Source organism: Homo sapiens, chromosome 13 (assembly GCF_000001405.40).
Source record: "Homo sapiens chromosome 13, GRCh38.p14 Primary Assembly".
NCBI lineage: Eukaryota > Metazoa > Chordata > Mammalia > Primates > Hominidae > Homo > Homo sapiens.
In genome coordinates, this window is record NC_000013.11 from 33,235,885 (window position 1) to 33,255,085 (window position 19,201).

A 19,201-nucleotide genomic window follows, 5' to 3' on the forward strand; every position below is an offset into this window, starting at 1 on the left:
AGGTGTGCTTGGGCAGGTGGATGTTCCGTTGGTAAATGAACATCAGGCTAATCTCACAGTTTGAATGAGAAGGTACAGAAATGACCCAACTGGGGGCAAAAAATCCACCCCCCAAATCAGTTTACATAAATACATAATGCATATATCTTGCTCTCTTAAAGCTCATTCTAGCCTCTTAAAATTATGAAAACGTACTGTTTTTATTACAAATCGTGAGTAATTTGTGCTTTCTCTTGGGCATTTTGGGGAACCCGAAGTGCCTTTTGATTTTTGAAGATTGAATCACTCTATTATTGAATGCTTCAGATTGCTGAGAATGAATCATATCATTCCTTTCAGAAGACAGAATTTATGGCTGGCCAGTAAGGCATGATCCAAAATCTTTGGCAGGAATCTGATTTGCATTCTCTTCTGACTTGGTAGCAAGCAGGACCCTCCTCAAACGCCTTGTTAGTGTTTCTGTGGAGAGGAATAAGGAAGGACCAGGTGCGAGGAGTTCCCTGGGTTCGGTGGAAACGCATGGCTGCGTGAGTGTTAGAGATTTTGAGGAAAATCTCCTGTGCTGAATAGCAGACCTCAGTTTTTCATCCTGGTTAATCCTCTTAAGCCTTTGTACATATGCAAAGATTTCCAAACTTTGGAGTGCTAAATCAGAAGCTTTCAGCAACAGTCTTCCTTGGCATCCCCCTGTTTCCTTAGCAATATGGTGGTCTAATGCTGAGCATAAGGAAGCCAGTTAGGAAAGTGCATCTATGTGGATACAGGGGAAGAGCAATCCTTATTATCTTGAGTCCTCTGATGCTGGGATGGCTTCAATGCTTGATCTTGAGGTAACAGCAGGAATCAACTGGTCTTCAATCCCTTGCGGACAGTGAGGACAGTGCGTTACAACCACTCTGGCTCACAATAGCTACTCAATAGCTTTCTTCAACGTTGTTGCATTACTGAATGTATTACTTTTAGAAATTAAATTACAGCCATCTTCTGCAGTTGGTATAAATTCATTCCTTTCTCTTAAACATTTCAATCTCTTCTTCAGAGTTTGATAGTTTTTGACCACTGATTCCTTCCTGAAATTCTTTCTTCCCTAGGATATATACCCTTATGGAATTACTTTTGGTTTTCACTGCTCAATTTTCTTCTTTCTTCCTCTTCTTCTATATGTACTTTCCCCAAAGATCTACACGTTAACTTTTTCTCTTTTCTTCCTAAACCAGCCCTCTACAATCTTGTCCATGTCAAGGAATTCAGCTTTCTCCTAGTCATATCCTAATCTCTTTCTGCACTCAGCCCCACTCCTGGAACTTCACTCTTGTCCTCTTTCAAAGTCCTAGTTCCAGATTTCTAACTTCTTAAAGAAGCCACCACTCTTCCTTAACTAGGAAAAATAATTAAATAATGAAGTCATGTTGTAATCCCTGTTTTTCCTTGGCCTCACTTTCAATCGGTTCATAAATTCATAAAACATCTATAAATTGAGTCCCTGCCAGCAAGAAGGCATTGTGTTAGTGCTGCAGGTGTAAGACTTGGGCCCTGCCTTCAAGAATGTAAACGAGCCTCAATTTATAACATCTTATTCCTCCTTTTTGTTTCTGCCATTGACCTGTTTTGCAGTAGTCTCACTTCCCACATGAACTATTGCAATGAACTATTTTTCTGGTCTTCCTGCCTCCAGCATCTTGCTTCTCCAGTTAATCCTAACTTTGGTGCTAGAAAAGACATTTCTGGATCATACCACTCATCAGTGTGATCCCTTGATTAAAAACTTCCCATCTCCCCCCTCACCACCATCCCCTACACCCATTTGACTACACTTACCAAAAAATTTTAAGGAAAAGCTTGGCACAATCTCTACTGATGTTCTGAGAAACACCATATTTCCTCTGAAATGATTTTTGCCTTTAAACTATACCAATTGGGTTGAGAAGAGTCTTTATGGCTTAGAATCAAATGAAACATTTTACCTGGTGACAAAAACCAAGAGTATGTTAGATTCAAAGAACTGTTTCATCACTGTCTGAAGAAATGTTTCATTAGTGTCTTCATAAAAAGAGATAGACAAAATTATGTCTTTCAAGAACACATCTTATGTAAACGACACAGAGTAACTGATCAGTATCACTTATGAGTGGGATAGTATTAAGTAGAAATATGTTTTGAGATTAGCTCTTCTACTGAGTAGTTACAGGTGACCTTGGATTACTTTCCAGCTCAGATAATCTAGGACTCTCTTTCAGATAGCACTTACCTTTCTTTTACTTACTCATCCATTAATACAGCACCACATAAAGCCCTGAGAATTCAACATTGAACACAACAGACATAATCCTCACTCACTTGGGTTTTTCTTTGTTGGTCCAACTCCCTGGCTAGTTTCAATGGCAAAACCAGATTTCAAGACTAAAGATTTATTTAATAGTTAAAACCTAAACATCTGCTTGTCCTAAGGCACTATAATGGACTAAGAACGGCTGCCCAAGAGATTGGAATAAGGATGGGGTCAAATAAGGTGAAAGATTTGGGGAAAATGAATATATATCCCCCAAAAGGTAAAGTGAGTGATAAAAAAGTTTACATTAGAAAAGCAGCATAGACTTAAAAGTAGATCATCTATTTTATATGTATGTTTAGTAAGAAACAGACTAGTGATTTTGAAATTTTGGTTGGGGATCCCAGGGTGTAAATTTTTGCCATATGAAAGAAAGTTTCAGTTTTAGGAAGCAAGGAACAGTAGAAAATCTATGAGCTCTAGAGTGAGAAAACCTGACTTGATGGTCAGTGCTGCCATTTAGTAGTTGTGGAACCTTGAGAAAGTCACTTATCATCCTTAGGCTTGAGTTGATTAATTTGTAGCAATAATAATAGCTAATGTGGAAGTGCATATAATGAGTCAAGTGCTTTATATACATTATCTCTGTAATCCTATGATATCCCCATGAGGTAGCATGTTTTTTTATTGTGGTAAAAAAACACAACATAAAATTTACCATCTTAACCATTTTTAAGTGATAAAAAATAACTTCTTAATGTGTTAAGAGGTAACACATTAGTGTTTTTTCTATGTACATGTTGTGTAATGGGTCTCCACATCTTTTTCATCTTGCAAAACTGAAATTCTATATCAATTAAGCAACAACCTCCCCATTTCCCCCTCCCCCCCAGCCACTGACAGTCATCATTCTACTTTCTGTGACTATGAGTTTGACTTCTTTGGATACCTCATGGAAGTGGAATCATGTCGAATTTGTCTTTTTGTGATTGGCTTATTTCACTTAGCATAATGACCTCAAGGCTCACACACGTTGTAGCATATAACAAGATTTCCTTCTTTTTTAAGGCTAAATAGTATTCTACTTTATGTATATACCACGTTTTCTTCATGCTTTCACTCATCATCAATGGACATTTAGGTTGCTTTTACCTCTTGGCTAGTGTGACTGACACAACAATGAACTTGGGGTGCAAATCTCTTTGAGCTCTTGGCTTTAATCCTTTTAGAGATATACTAAGAAGTAGAATTGCTGGATTATATGACAATTCTATTTATAATCTTTTTTAGGAACTTCCATTCTGTTTTCCATAGCAGCTGCACTGTTTTTTATTCCCATCAACAATACACAAGTGTTCCAATTTCTCCACATCATTGCCAAGACTTCTTGTTTTGTTGTTTGTTTGTTTGTTTTTGGTAATGACCACCCCTATGAATATGAGGTGATATCTCATTGTGGTTTTTATTTGCATTTTCCTGATAATTAGTGATACCAAGCATCTTTTCATATACTTCTTGGCCATTTGTATATCTTCTTTGAAGAAATATCTATTCAAGTCTTTTGCCCATGTTTTTAAATCAGGCAATTTGTTTGTGTTGTTGTTGTTAAGTTGTAGAAGTTCTTATATATTCTAGATATTAACCATTTATCTGATGTATGGTTTGCATATATTTTCTTCCATTTCATAGGTTGCTTTTTCAATCTTGACAGTTTCCTTTGCTGTGTAGGAGTTTTTAAGTTTGATGTAGTCCCATTTGTCTATTTTTGCTTTGCTGCCTGTGTTTTGCATGTCATATCAAATAAATTTTTGCAAATCCAATGTCATTAAGCTTTTCTCCTGTTTCCTTCCAGAAATTTTATAGTTTTCAGGTCTTACATTCAGCTATTTTATCCATTTTGAGTTATTTTTATATGTGGCATAAGGCAAGGATCCAACTTCATTCACTGGTATGTAAATATCCAGTTTTCCCATTTATTGAGGAGACTGTCGTTTTCTCATTATGTAGTCTTGATGAGCTCATTGAAGACCATCTGACCGTATACACGAGGATTTGTTCCTTGGCTCTCTATTCTGTTCCATTGTTCCATATGTCTGTCTTCATGCCGGTAACATACTGTTTTGATTACTGAAGCTTAGTAACATGTTTGAAATCAGGAAGTATGAAGCCTCCAACTTTGTCCTTCTTTTTCAAGATTGTTTTGGCTATTCAGGATCCTTTGAGATCCCACATCCATTTTAGAATTTTTTCTACTTCTGCAAAATAAAAAAATCCCATTGGGATTTTGATAGGTATTGCACTGGATCTCTAGATCACTTTGAGTAGTATAAACATTTTAACAATCTTGTCTTCTAATCCATGGTATGAGATTTCCTTCCATTTACTTGTATCTTTAATTTCTTTCAGCAATGTCTGCAGTTTTCAATGTACAAGTCTTTTGCCTTTTGGTTAAGTTTATCCTTAAGTATCTTATCCTTAAGGATCCCTAAGTTTATCCTTAAGTATTTTATCCTTAAGTATCCTTAAGTTTATCCTTAAGTATTTTATCCTTAAGGATCCTTAAGTTTATCCTTAAGTATTTTATCCTTAAGGATCCTTAAGTTTATCCTTAAGTATTTTATCCTTAAGGATCCTTAAGTTTATCCTTAAGTATCCTTATTTCCTTTTGATAGTACTATAAGTAGTATTGTTTTCTTAATTTCATTTTCAGATTGATAATTGTTCATGTATAGCAATGCAACTGATGTTCGCATGTTGGTTTTGTATCATGCAGCTTTGCTGAATTTGCTTATTAGTTCTAACCATTTTTTGGTGGAGTCTTTATTGTTTTCTACATATAAGATCATGTCATCTGCAAACAGAGATACTTTCATTTATCACTTCCCAAGTTGGATATCTTGTGTAGGGTGCCATTATTAAGATTGTATTATAAATGAGTAAACTGTGTTCTGTCATATTTCTGAATTTGTTGTGAGGATTCCATGAGCTTACAGGTATGAAATTGTTTTGTAAACTATTTCAGGGCCATTGATTTCTACAATCTATTAAGTGTCAAAACAGACCTCTATTCATAGAAAGTAGATCTAAGTTAATTCTTAGCACTAATGGAGGTCAATAAAGATAGAAACAATGGAATGAGTAAAAGGAACCTAGTGAATGTTTAAAATCTAGCTAAGAAATAACTTGGGTATTCAACACAATAGAATAAAACCGTAATTGATATTAATGCAGTTTTTGTATTAATAAAAACTGCATTTTTATTAATGTTAAACTACAACAAAAGCTATGATAAAGCAGTTTTAGTTCTGAATCAAAGGTATTTTTCTAGGCAATTTCAGTCATGTATGTATAAATGGAAAATAAAATTTAATTAAAAAGTATGCCCCTCCCCCTCCCCCTCCCCCTCTCCCCTTTGCACGGTCTCCCTCTGATGCCGAGCCGAGGCTGGACCATACTGCCGCCATCTCAACTCACTGCAACCTCCCTGCCTGATTCTCCTGCCTCAGCCTGCCCAATGCCTGGGATTGCAGGCGCGCGCCGCCACGCCTGACTGGTTTTCGTATTTTTTGGTGGAGATGGGGTTTCGCAGTGTTGGCCGGGCTGGTCTCCAGCTCCTGACCGCGAGTGATCTGCCAGCCTCAGCCTCCCGAGGTGCCGGGATGGCAGACGGAGTCGCGCTCACTCAGTGCTCAATGTTGCCCAGGCTGGAGTGCAATGGCCTGATCTAGGCTCACTACAACCTCCACCTCCCAGCCGCCTGCCTTGGCCTCCCAAAGTGCAGAGATTGCAGCCTCTGTCCGGCCGCCACCCCGTCTGGGAAGTGAGGAGCGTCTCTGCCTGGCCGCCCATGGTCTGGGGTGTGGGGAGCCCCTCTGCCCCGCCGCCCCATCTGGGATGTAGGGAGCGCCTCTGCCTGGCCGCAACCCAGTCTGGGATCTGAGGAGTGTCTCTGCCCCGCCGCCACCCCATCTGGAAGGTGAGGAGCGTCTCTGACCGGCCGCCCCGTCTGAGAAGTGAGGAGCCCCTCCGCCCAGCAGCCGCCCCATCCGGGAGGTGGGGGGCAGCCCCCACCCGGCCACCACCCTGTCTGGGAGGTGTACCCAACAGCTCATTGACAACGGGCCATGATGACGAGGGCAGTTTTGTCAAATAGAAAAGGGGGCAATGTGGGGAAAAGAAAGAGAGATCAGATTGTTACTGTGTCTGTGTAGAAAGAAGTAGACATAGGAGACTCCATTTTGTTCTGTACTAAGAAAAATTCTTCTGCCTTGGGATGCTGTTAATCTATAACCTTACCCTCAACCCCGTGCTCTCCGAAACATGTGCTGTGTCCACTAAGGGTTAAATGGATTAAGGGCGGTGCAAGACGTGCTTTGTTAAACAGATGCTTGAAGGCAGCATACTCCTTAAGAGTCATCACCACTCCCTAATCTCAAGTACCCAGGGACACAAACACTGCGGAAGGCGGCAGGGCCCTCTGCCTAGGAAAACCAGAGACCTTTGTTCACATGTTTATCTGCTGACCTTCCCTCCACTATTGTCCTATGACCCTGCCAAATCCCCCTCTCCAAGAAACACCCAAGAATGATCAGTAAATACTAAAAAAAAAATAAAAAATAAAAAAAGTATGGAGTTAATAGTTTTATGGTTAAAACTATTTTCAAAACACCTTTTCTTTACTATGTATTGAGTCTGATATATTTGGAGGCTTAGCTGGTGTGTCTTTGTCTGTTTTTCTGTTCTTAGAGCTTCCTAGTAATTCCTCTAAGTTAGCAGGTATATATTACTTCTCACTGTACAACAAAAACAGTCCCAGTCTTTTCCAAACTGCTGGCTCCTGCAAGCATGTATTCAGCCTCAGAAAACACCTCTCCATCACAACTCTCCTTCCTGGATGATGTGGCTACAGGAATTCCTATTCCTACTCTATTGCTGTTTTGCCAAGGAAGGCCCCCTCATTCCATCCCTACCGCCCACTCCATAGCACAGTGCACCTCCTCTTCTTCCTCATGGTACTCTTTGGTGGACACAACCATACTCAGCTACCCCTCCTTTAAATACCACAAACATTCATTCAACATTTATTGAGCACTTACATGTTCTAAAGCTCTAAAGTACAAAAGTAAATAGAAATGTTGGAGTGTGGAAGGGGGAATGGTAGGCATCAAAGAGAGGCATTTCAGAGTAAAGACTTTCCTATAGGGAAGGCACAGATTCCTGCCAGTGTATGACCAATCCCACAACCTGTGAGGAGTGTAGCTCCTCAGGGTGAAGAGTACCTGGGTGTGGGAAGGGCTACACCACAGCCAAGAGTGAAGGGCCTCTTATGCCACCTTAAGGAGTTCAGATTTTAATCCTATGGGTCATAGGGATTTTCAAGTATGGAATTAATTTTTTTTTCTCAAAAATGATACCTCTAGCAACAGTGTGAAGGATGAACCATAAAGGACAGAGAATCCGTGTGGCTGAGACACTTGTGACAGGCCAGGGATAATGGTGTCCCGGACTCAGCAGGGAGTGGTGGAGATGGGTGGGCAAAAACAGGGTCCCCGGGCCCTTACTGTTTCTCACAACATTTTGTTTCCTTCATAGAACTTGGAGATTCTCATATTATCAGTGGAGTGCAAGTTCCTTGGAACTATGTCAGCTTCGTTTACCTGTTAAGCCCAGGTCTGGCACCTGTAAGGTATTTAAGCACTGGTTTAAAGGTGGAAAGCAGGAACCAACGGCTAAGAGTGAGATGAGAGTAAGGGAGTATATGGCTTCCAGGTCTCTAACTTGGGCACTTATTTGGATGGGAATAGAGGTTGAGTATCCCTTACCTGAAATGCTTGGAACCAGAAGTGTTTCAGATTCCGGCTCTTTTTTTTTTTTTTTTAATATTTGCATTATCCAAAATGCTTCAAAATCTGAAAGATTTTGAATGCCAACATGATGCTCAAAGGAAATGCTCACTGGAGCATTTCAGATTTTGGAGTTTTGGATTAGGGATGGTCAACTTGTACCTTCATCTGGGAATGCCGATACCATGAAAGCTGAAAATCAGGATGTGGGAGGTGAAGGAGGAGAGTTAGTAAGTTCTCTGTGGATGAGGAATTAGTCTCAAGAGATAGGAAACTAAAGCTTGGATAGGTTAATAATTTTTCCAAAGTCACATTACTGGGAAATAGTAAAGCGACACTGGAATCCAGGTCCTCTGAACTTCAAAGTTATCAGTCACCCTCTCACTCCTTTCACCACCTGTCACCTCTCACCACTCACCCCACCAGTCCTCTAGCAGACTTTTTACATAGACTACTGCTGCGATAATTCCTCACATCCCTGTATCTCTTTGAAATTTAGCCTTGCTGCTCCTCTTATCAAGAAGAGCCCTCAAATCTGGGTTTGGCCATGCCACTTGTTTTGACCAACAAATCAAGCAGAAGTGATGTGCAACTTATGAGCCTAGGGCTGAAGAGGTCTTTCAGCTTTTATGCTTACCCTCTTGGAACTCTGAGACAAGAAGCCCAGGCTAGCCTCCTTGGGGATAAGAGACCACATGTAGAGAAAGGCCAAGCTGACAGCTGAAACCAACCACGAGGCATCTGAGGGAGACACTATTAGGCCACAAAACTCCATCAAGTTGCCAATGAATTGTAACTGCACAAGAAAGGAGAAACCAGCAGAAGAACTCAACAGCTGAGCCCTGACCAAATTGCCAACATACAGAACTGTGAACCAATAAATGACTGTTGTTTTCAGCCATTAAATTTGAATTCGGTTGTCATGTAGCAATAGGTAACTGACACATCCCTACATCCAAATACAACACATTAAGCTGTCTCTGAAGTGAGGAAGAAAGAATCTCCTTAACACTGGCAAGGAGGAAAAAACTGTCAAATGTTAGGGACAGTTCCAGACATGTCCAATTATTAGAAACATAGGCTCCCTTGCTCTTAGAAATAAAAGGAAACTATTAAAACCGCAGAGCTGAGTTTCACTGTGAGTTAAATACGTCATTGTGGGTCAGCTGGAAACTCACCATCCTTTACTATTGGTTCTAGCGGAAAATTTTCTCATTTGAATAAAATAATTTATAAACTCACTTGCTGGCAAACTGAGGATAATTTGTCCTAAGACATGACACTGCATTTTATAAAATCAGAGTAAACAGAAAAAAGACAAGAAGAAGACAGAACACAATCTTCATCCGCACTTACATTCTCGCAGGAATGTTTATGAAAGAAAAAATATCCTGTGAATGCAAAAGACTCGTGCTTTGGGAAGAGAACAACTTCTAGCTGTAATTGAATCATTTGGGGCCACATTCTGTGGGTACCCTAAGGTGATTATGCTCAGAATGGAGGCTTTCAGAATGTCATTTAGCAAAAGAAAACATGGCTGGATACCAGTAATAAACTAATGCCCTTGAGCTACTTATTTTTTATGGCAAACTAATTGAAACATACAAATTGTATAATGTTCCCTGCTTGTGAGAAGGGGCAGGACTGAAATGCAGATGATTGATTCTGAAATGGAGCCACTAAGATAAGGTTTCTTCTTCAACAGAAAATATGTTACTGATCTAATTTCTGTGCAGCCAAGATAAGTGGAACTGTCATTCTGTCCTATTGGAAAGAACCTTTGTCTTCCATGAGAAAACAAAGCTGCACAGATACATTTTTGTTTCTAAAATAGATTTTCTTTTCTTTCATTCTCCCCCAACCTTTTTTGTAAAGTAATTTATAGGGAGTTGATTAAATTAACTGGTAAACTCAAGAGGCCAGATTCTACTTTTAAATGCATGCCCATGGTTACTGTGAGCAGAAGAATGATATAGCCTAAGGACAATAAAATTACATTTTATTCACCGTACAAGTAAGGATATTTGAAGGGTGCAGGAAGGGATGGGGTGGGCCTGTTATCCAGAGAAACATTGTAATGAATAAGCTCAAGCTTGGCAATTTTTTAATTCATTTTTTAGTGTGTGGGTAGAAGGGCAACTGCACTGTGTTCATAGACATAAATGCTTTGTCTGTCTCTTGAAGCAAAAGATAATAAATCCCAGGGTTATAATTTAAGACATGCGCATCAAAGAGAGGTAAGGAGAAGTGACTTAAGATGAATAAGTGGCTGTGTTGCTTCACAAAAGAGGAAAGCACTACCATCAAGTCAGGGTTGGCTAGAACGTTACCTATTCATTCACTTTCTATGCACCTAATGTACCCCAGACAGGCACACACACATCTCTAGTCCACCTGAGCTTCTCAGGGCTGTATCTTTGTCTAAGTCTGTATGTCTAGGAACAGACAAGCATCTTCTAAAACCAGCCATTTGTTTCAACAATCACACCTGCTTAAATTTAAGTTTCATATTTCAATAGGTTTCATACCCCTATCAACATCTTTTTAAAAATTTTATTAATTCTATTGAATAAATATTTGTTGAGCACTTTCTGTGCAAAACACTGTGCTAGGTAGATCCAACGAGGATCCAAAGATATAGAAGATATTCTAAACCTTCACTCAGGTTATTAGACAAATAAAATAATAAAAATATTGATGACCATAAAACAAAAACAAAAACTAAGAGAGAGAGAGAGAGGAGAGAATAAAACACTATGCGGTGGGATTTCAAAAGCAAAAAGAATTATCTGTTGGCAAGAGAATTAAGATTGCTTCTTGGAAGAAGACCTTGAAGGATGGATAAAATTTCAAAAGACAGTGACAAGGGTGTGGTTATGGAGAGAGTTATAGATTGGTCCAGTTTAAAGGAATGGCTGGGCTGGGTGTGGTGGCTCATGCCTGTAATCCCAGCACTTTGGGAGGCCGAGGCAGGTGGGTCGCCTGAGGTCAGGAGTTCGAGACCAGCCTGGCCAACATGGTGAAACCCCGTCTCTAGTAAAAATACAAAAATTAGCTGAGTGTGGTGACACATGCCTGTAGTCCTAGCTACTTGGGAGGCTGAGGCAGGAGAATGGCTTGAACCCTGGAGGCGGAGGTTGCAGTGAGCCAAGATCACACCACTGCACTCCAGCCTGGGTGACAGAGTGAGACTCTGTCTCGGATAAATAAATAAATAAATAAATTAAATAAATAAATAAATAAATAAAACGGCTGGAAAAAAGTCCAGAAGAGAAAGTGCGGCTTGGTTTGTCTGGAGCCAAGATACCAGGCGGCAGAGAGTCAGAATGGAGGGACACTCTGAGTGGGGACTTAGTACTCAATTCAGCAGGCGATGGGGGCAACGTGATGAGCACTGTGCTCAGATGATGGACAAGCAGACACGAATTCAACATGAGGTCTCTGCAATGCCGTCGCCAGGACAACTGCTCCATATGACCAGTGCCCTCTCATTTTTTGGAGCTAGTCTTTTCATAACATGTTTCAGGGTGCCTAATATACGTTATATTAGATATAATATATATTTCTATCATATATTTTTGCAATTTGCTGTATATATAACAGACACCAAATATAATATCAAGTACAATATCAAATATATTACATATCTATTGTATTACAAATTTTCAATTTGCTATATATTAGATATCCCAGTTATATATGTATATGAATGGCCCTCACTTGTAAGTGCTGGAACCGTGATTCACTCACTCTACTGCTATCGCCCAAAACGCACAATTCTCAGCACTGGCTGAACTTCCCATCACCTGAGATGCTTACAAAATAGTGGGTGCTGAGACCCCAATTCAAACCACTCTCAGTTGAGGTGCCCAGACACCCCAGGTTTTCATGAATGGCCAGGTGATTCTGACGTGCTAACAAGGTTGGGGACCACTGACACAAAGGGCTTTTCATGTGGGTGATTTACCTCATCTTCTGGGGGGTCCTTATATACTGCACTTGAAGACTCAATGAGGCTAAAAATATTAATTTTGAATAAATGGGCATATAACATTTTAAACTTACATTTCTATTATTGTCTTGACTTTCGAATGAGTCAGGGCTATCGTTAAGAAGAAGAAGGCTGGGCATGGTGGCTCATGCCTGTAATCCTAGCACTTTGGGAGGCCAAGACAGGAGGATTGCTTGAGTCCAGGAGTTCAAGACCAGCCTGGGCAACATAGTGAGACCTCATTTCTACAAAAAATAAAAAATTAGCTGGGTGTGGTGGCAACCAGCTGTGGTGAGCTATAATCCTGCCACTGCACTCCAGCCTGGGCGACAGAGTGAGAACTTCTCTCTCTAAAAAAAAGAAGAAGATAAAAAAGGAAGAATAAAGGAATGTAATTTAATAGACTTTTAATAACAAAGGAATTTTTAGTCACTACTTAAAACTGGAAGTCTATGGCGATCCTGGGCATGTGAGAGCATTAAGAGATTTGTGAGCTGTAGCTTCCAGTGTTACCTACCAGTTGGGGTCCAGACTTGAATGATGGGTGGGGAAGGAGCAGCAGGGCCTCTGGCCTTAGGTACAGTGACTCCCACTCCACACTGCTCCCCCATCCCTCTATTCCTCTTCCCTGTTTTTTGTCTTTCTTTTCTCCTTCATTTATCTTCTTTTGTTTTGGTATTCCTCCCATTCCTTTCCCCTTTTGCTTCCCATATTTTGATTTTTCTTCTTCCTCCACTTCTCCAGTCACTTTGTTTCTTTCTCACCATTATCCTTTCCCTTATTCAGTGTTTGGGTGTTCCCAAAACACCTGAATTACATAATATTTTAAATTATTAGTTGTATTTATTGAATGAGCTTGATACTCCCTGGTCTTAGATTTTAGGGTGGCAAGTTGAACATATCATCTAGTTTTCTTTAAAACAATAAATTTTAAATAAGCTACTTTTCACTAATAAGTTGGGAAATCATTTCTACTAAAGAAGAGAAAAGAAAACAAAACTCCTTTTTCCCCTTGCCAGATATTTCTGATAAAGGAAGATAAATGAGTACTATATTTTAAAGGCAGCCATTGCAAATGTGTTTCATGAAAAATAGGTGACATGCTACATGACATTGAAATGACTGCTAGCTTTATACATTAAAATGAGGAAAAAAAAGTTGGGAACACGATAACATCATTTCCTAAATGGTAGGAGGATTTCGAAGCAGGGAAATCAACAGACACACAAAGGTTATCACTGGCCACAAGCAGCTGTCAATAAATTCCAATCCTAAGAGAACACACTAACTCACGATGACTCAGTTGACCAAAAAGAAAACACAATAGTATCTACACAAGGCCTTGACCTTACTTCTTCATTTTGTCACTGTTTCTTCCGTCTGTAATGGGTTTCTTAATATTCAGTCAGTCTATGTCTACGATTTCTTAAGTATGAATCTAAAAATGCATTTCTTCCAAGAATTCGTCTTTGACTCCACCTCCTTTCTTTGAATGATTTCTTTTCTCAAGGTTTCCTTAGCCACCTACAATGTGCCAGGCTTTTTGGTCATGAATTTGCCAATATTATTTCTAATCCCTGCAACAATCGTACAATGCAGATATTAGTATACCATTTTGCAATTAAGGAAACTAAGCCTCAGAGAGTGTTAAATAACCTGTCTGTATCAATTAATACAGGTATAGTTGGTATTTAAATCTGCATGTTTAATTCCAATGACAGTATCCTTTCCACTTCCTCAAACTGTCTCCCTTTCGTTTCTTCCTAATGCCATCATACACCAATTATCTGTTATTATTTATTTATTTATTTATTTTGTTAGAGACAGGGTCTTACTGTGTCACCCAGGCCAGAGTGCAGTGGCGCCATCTCGGCTCACTGCAACCTCTACCTCCCAGGATTAAACAATAGTCCCACCTCAGCCTCCTGGGTAGCTGGGACTACAGGCATTTGCCACCATGCTTGCCTAATTTTTTTGATTTTTTGTAGAGATCAGGTCTCACTACGTTGCTCAGGCTGGTCTTGAACTCCCGGGCTCAAGTGATCCCCCCGTCTCAGCCTTCCAAGTGTTGGGATTACAGGCATGAGACACTGTGCCCAGCCCCCATCATAAACTAATTATGTTCTTTTACAGCAGCTTTACACACCCTTATTTTGTTTCCTCAATCAGACTAAAAGAGCAACAACAATAAAAAAAAATCTGGAAAATAATTCTCTGAAAATTCTGAGCAGTAGACATTGCTAGGTATTGTTAAGGAAAGTCAGTTACTTTGGGGGGCCAATTATCTCCTCCTAGTTCATATCTACCAAGCCAAAAGTTCCCTATAGGAAAGCTCATTAGCGCAGAGGAATGAATAAGAATTAAGTGTGTGTCTCTCACCTTCTACCAAGGGAAATATATAATTCTGGAGAATTTTATTCTCGCAAAAACAGTATTCACTGTCTTGTAACCAATGTCTCCCTTAAAACAAGAAAGCCCTGCAGAGAGTTGCAGATGTGGCATGGAATTACAAGCAACTTCATTCTGGAACCCATGCTGGTACAGACACAGCCTAAGACTGCATCCTTTTAAAGGCATTATTTCATATTGCTGAGGCTTCAAACATCACTTGGAACCCTATGAAGTCATGTGGTCCCAGTTCTGTATTTATATAATATGAAATGGCAGATTTACATTTATTCCTGTGTAATTTCAACCAGTGATTTTGGCCCATTGACCCATGCTGTTGAAATCTTTAAATATTCTCAGTCTGTCTGTCAACCAGTACACTTGCTCTCTTCCTATGAAGCATCCCTTCCAGATGTCTTGCCCCTCCTCCCATGTTCCTTAGTCTCTATTTGAACACACATCTGTTCTTGTTTGCTAGATCATAAACTGTATGAGGACAAGACTTAAGTCTGTCTTGTTCATTACTGGATCCTGGCATTTATCATAGGGCATGGCATGGTGTAGAAGCTCACTATGCTTTGAATAAGTGAAAGCATAGAAGGAGGGGAGAAATGGGAATAGGATAAGGAAGGGAAGGGAAGGGAGACGTTATAGGTAGAGGAAGAAGAGAGAACAAGATAAGATCAAGGAACAGCAACACATATAGTGTAGAATCTAAGATGCCTGAGTTGTAAGTTATTTAACTCTCTGAGGCTCATGTTTTTATTTATAAAATATCATCACATCAACCTCACAGGATTTTTGTGAGCATGGGGGGAGATGATGCTGCACAAACATCTGGTCTACAGGAGGTAGGACCCACTGAGGTTGACAGGCCGCCTGGGATTCTTTCACTTTCAAGCCTGCCAGGATGATCAAATGACAAGATTCTGTGGCTCTGAGCCATTTTTGGGCTGCTGAAGGAAGTATCTGGGCCTTATGCTCGCTGCATTGCCCCTCTTTCCAAGTGAATCACTTCATTAAAATGAAAGGTTTACTAAAACAGTCTGCCAGGTTAGGATGATTCATTCCCCAGCTGTGGCCATCATCAGAAAACCATGTGCATTCAGTACAGTTATCAAGCCTGAATAGCCACTAATTTGCAGAGCTTTTGGTCTCAGTGTCATTTATTTTTGTATTTTAAAAGAGGAAGTGCACAAGACATCATTATGTCAGTCCCACATAAGAGGCTGGTAGACTCTTAGTAAGTGGATGCACATGTTTGCATTTCCAAAAGCTTCTCTTTTCATCAAAAGAAAATACATATGTCTAATTGGCTGTTTGTGTAAAGTATGGGCATATCTATATGTTGGGTTAGTTCCTCCCTTGATGGTAAGCTATAATGAAATACATTTTTAATGTTAGATGGGGATTTTAGAAGTCTACTCTGCAAACCTCAGATTTACCACCCTATTTAGCTTGTCAAGTAAGGCTGCTACTTACATTAAATGAGTAACACCTAATCCTGAACACAATTTCAAAGTAAATTCCCTTCCTTTCCAAAACAGACAAACTAGCAAAACCTTACTTCTTCAGAGTTCTGGTAAAGGCTGAAAATCAAAACGATAAGCTTTATTCATCCTAAAAGGCTAAAGATATAAAATAGATATAAAAATAATCACACGTTAAATAAGATACTCCTATCATTACTACATTAAATATTTCCTACATGATAAATGGCCCTCTGGCACTAAAAAGGAAAGACCATCATCTTCTAATTCAATTTATTCTGGTTATGTATATGATGTATCCAAAATTGTGAGCAGCTTTTACAGCTCAGAGGCTGCCCTTTATTTGGAACTCCCTGCCTTTAATCCCTCTCCGGTTGCCACACTCCTACGTCCTGCCTATTTTTGACAACATGGAGAGGAGAACATGGTGAGGCTGGGATGGCCCAAGGGCCTCAAGAGGCTGCCCTGGGAGCAGTGATAACAGAGTGCTAGATGTTCCATTTACAATACTGAAATAGCTGCACAACAGCCCTCTGTCATTTGTTTCTAACCACAGTGAGTGACGGAGAAGATTTTCACTCTATGGGCCATATTCAGGTCCCTCCCTTCCGCATACTTTCAAATGGACTAAACAACCAGTTTCAGCTTTGAACAGTTCTCACTTTATCAATCCCAATCTTTAAGATCTACACATGCAGGGCTTCCAACATAATGTTGAAGCCGTCAGAGGGAAACCAATTTTGTCACTATCAATAGTATTGACCCAGCAGGTATGTGTTTCACTTGAATTACGGAAGAATTGCTCGAAATCACACAATTGAAGACTGATCCAGGAGAATGTTTGCTTAGATATTTTTCTAACTTTTCCCACATCAAATCATTTAGCAAGATTTGTATCTGAAAGTACTTTTCCAATAAAATTGGATTTGACGCAAGTTGCAGAAGTTTTACAGTGCCAGTAGGTGGTACGACGAGGGTTGTAAAGGATGAAAATGTGTTGCCTTTGCCTGAGAATGTTAGAGAGCTGGTGGGTTAAAGAAGACAGTGAGCACATCACCCACCAAGCGAGCTTCCCTAAGGTACTGACCTTGGGCCCATGTCACAGATGATCTGACCCAGTCATTTTCCGTTTTTTGGATTATTTTAGGGACATATAAAAAGGTCACCACCAAACAATTTTCCCATGATACTTAGATCCTAGTATCATGTGGTATTTCCATGAACCAGAAAAGAGCCCTAACTTTATGCCTCCAGAACACCATGTGTGTTCTTTGCCTACCATCATTGTAGTCCTGCTAAAAGGATAGTTTTTATGGTCTTAAGGCAATGACTATGGACAGCCAGACTTCCTAAAAGACTTCTTAGACCTCGGTAGAAAGACAGGTGCTGTATTCCTCCTTTGAACATGGATTTGTGATGTGATGTTCACTATTCTTGCCCTTGAGTTCAAATTCTGGCAATTAAGAATAGGTGTTAACACACAGACCATTTTAAAAGCTACATTAAGCCAATGGACAGCGTAAACATGCCTGGAAATAATATATGCAGTACATGCTTCATCCAGGAAAAACACAATTACCCCAAAGAACACAATTATCCACACAGAACTTAAGTTGAGCACTAAATGAAGGTTCCACCTACAACAAGGGCCGCAGCGTGTATTTATAAGATGAAGCATGCTGTTGGGCTCTAGCTGCAGCACTGCTGGGTGAGGGGGACCTCCTTGTGAAGGCCGAGGCTGCCGGTCAGTGATGAGGGCAGGGATGCCTTCTCGGCCACCTCTGCTGACAGCTGTACAGCTGTGTCTGCTTCATGTGGCCCCCGAGACCACGGTGACCCCCTTCAATGTATGGCGTTGATTCTACTGATTTATGTCAAGGGTAGCTCTGATTTATAAGCGTATCATCAAAGCCTGAAATTGAACTTTCAAAATAGTACGATCTAAAGATGATGCCTAGACTGAACGGGATAAAAATAAAGGCCTCTCTTGAACGGATACAAATTTGATGAGCAATGAACAAAACATAAATGAAGGTTTTTCAACAGGCCTGCCACAGACCATGGGGGAACACCCTGTCCAGGTGTGCTGTCAATTGGTGATCAAATTGTAAAATGTATTAGTGCTGCAATTGAATATATGCACTATTGGGATGCACAGTCTGACACACACAGGGTGATCAGCCATCCCGCTTTGCCTGGAGTGATCCTCATTTTAACACTGAAAGCCTAATGTCTCTGGAAACTATTGAATCTCAGACAAAGTGGGCTGGTTGGTCCCCAGCAGATAGGACACTAGGCTGATGGGGTAGTGGGTGGCAAAGCGGACTGAGGTCAGAGGCACAGCATGAGGTCAAGTCAGCGGCAAAGAGGATAATTTGTACACCTCAACAGAGTGGATATGCCAAGGGGTAGTCAGGACAATAGGCTTAACAGTGTTGGAGAGAGAACACGTGCGTGTGACACAGGTGAGCACCTTTACAGGCTCTGTGAGACAGTGTCACTGTGCTGAGTTGTCATTATTGCTGATTTGTTGAGTATTGTTTTAGGCCTCTCAATCCCTTCATAGCTGTTGCCTATATTCTAGCATTTGAAAGTATTCTGTTGATATGGGCAGGAGGCAGGGAAATATTGGATACCAGGGGGTGATTCCCCGACAAAGGCCCTACCATCAAGCCTGAAGACCCACAGCCCTAAGTGGGAACAGCATTTCTGTTTTCATGTCCTTTTGGCCTGCCATGCCCCCCTATCCTGTACCCATATAAATCCCGAAACCCAGGCTCCAGAAGCAGACCTGTAGGTGAGGAGACAAGCACACGAACTGTGGAATGACGTGGCAGAGAAAGAGAGAAGAGGAGGGATGTCTGAATGCTGAGATGAGTTTGGCTGGGGGTGGTCAGAGAGGAGTTTGGCTGCTGGACGGCCAGGCTTCAAGGGAAGATCGTGTTCCCACTCCAACCCCTCTTTGGCTCCCCATCCATCCCACTGAGAGCCACCTCCATCACTCAGTAAAACTCCCACATTCATCCTTTAAGTCTGTGTGTGACTTGATTCTTCCAGGATGCTGGACAAGAGCTCAGGATACAGAAAGCTGTCACACTGGCCCTCTGCCCTTGAGAAAAGGCAGAGGGTCCACTGAGCTGGATAACACTCACACTATCTGCGGACAGCAGGGCTAAAAGGGCACACTGTAACACACGACAACTTGGGCTCCTATACCTGT

At 40.6% G+C, this 19,201-nt stretch overlaps 1 protein-coding gene across 7 annotated transcripts in view, besides 1 other annotated feature; it reads right to left on the reverse strand.

Moving 5' to 3' along the window:
• STARD13 (StAR related lipid transfer domain containing 13) overlaps window positions 1-19,201 on the reverse strand; it is a 573,658-nt gene that overhangs the window by 132,748 nt on the left and 421,709 nt on the right. The gene's annotated exons all lie outside the window — the stretch shown is intronic.
• Window positions 15,293-15,502: an enhancer, noted in NCBI's record as "active region_7576". NCBI's record gives its function as "activates an Ori minimal core promoter by ATAC-STARR-seq in GM12878 lymphoblastoid cells {active_cell/tissue: GM12878}" and the evidence as "EXISTENCE:reporter gene assay evidence [ECO:0000049][PMID:35858748]".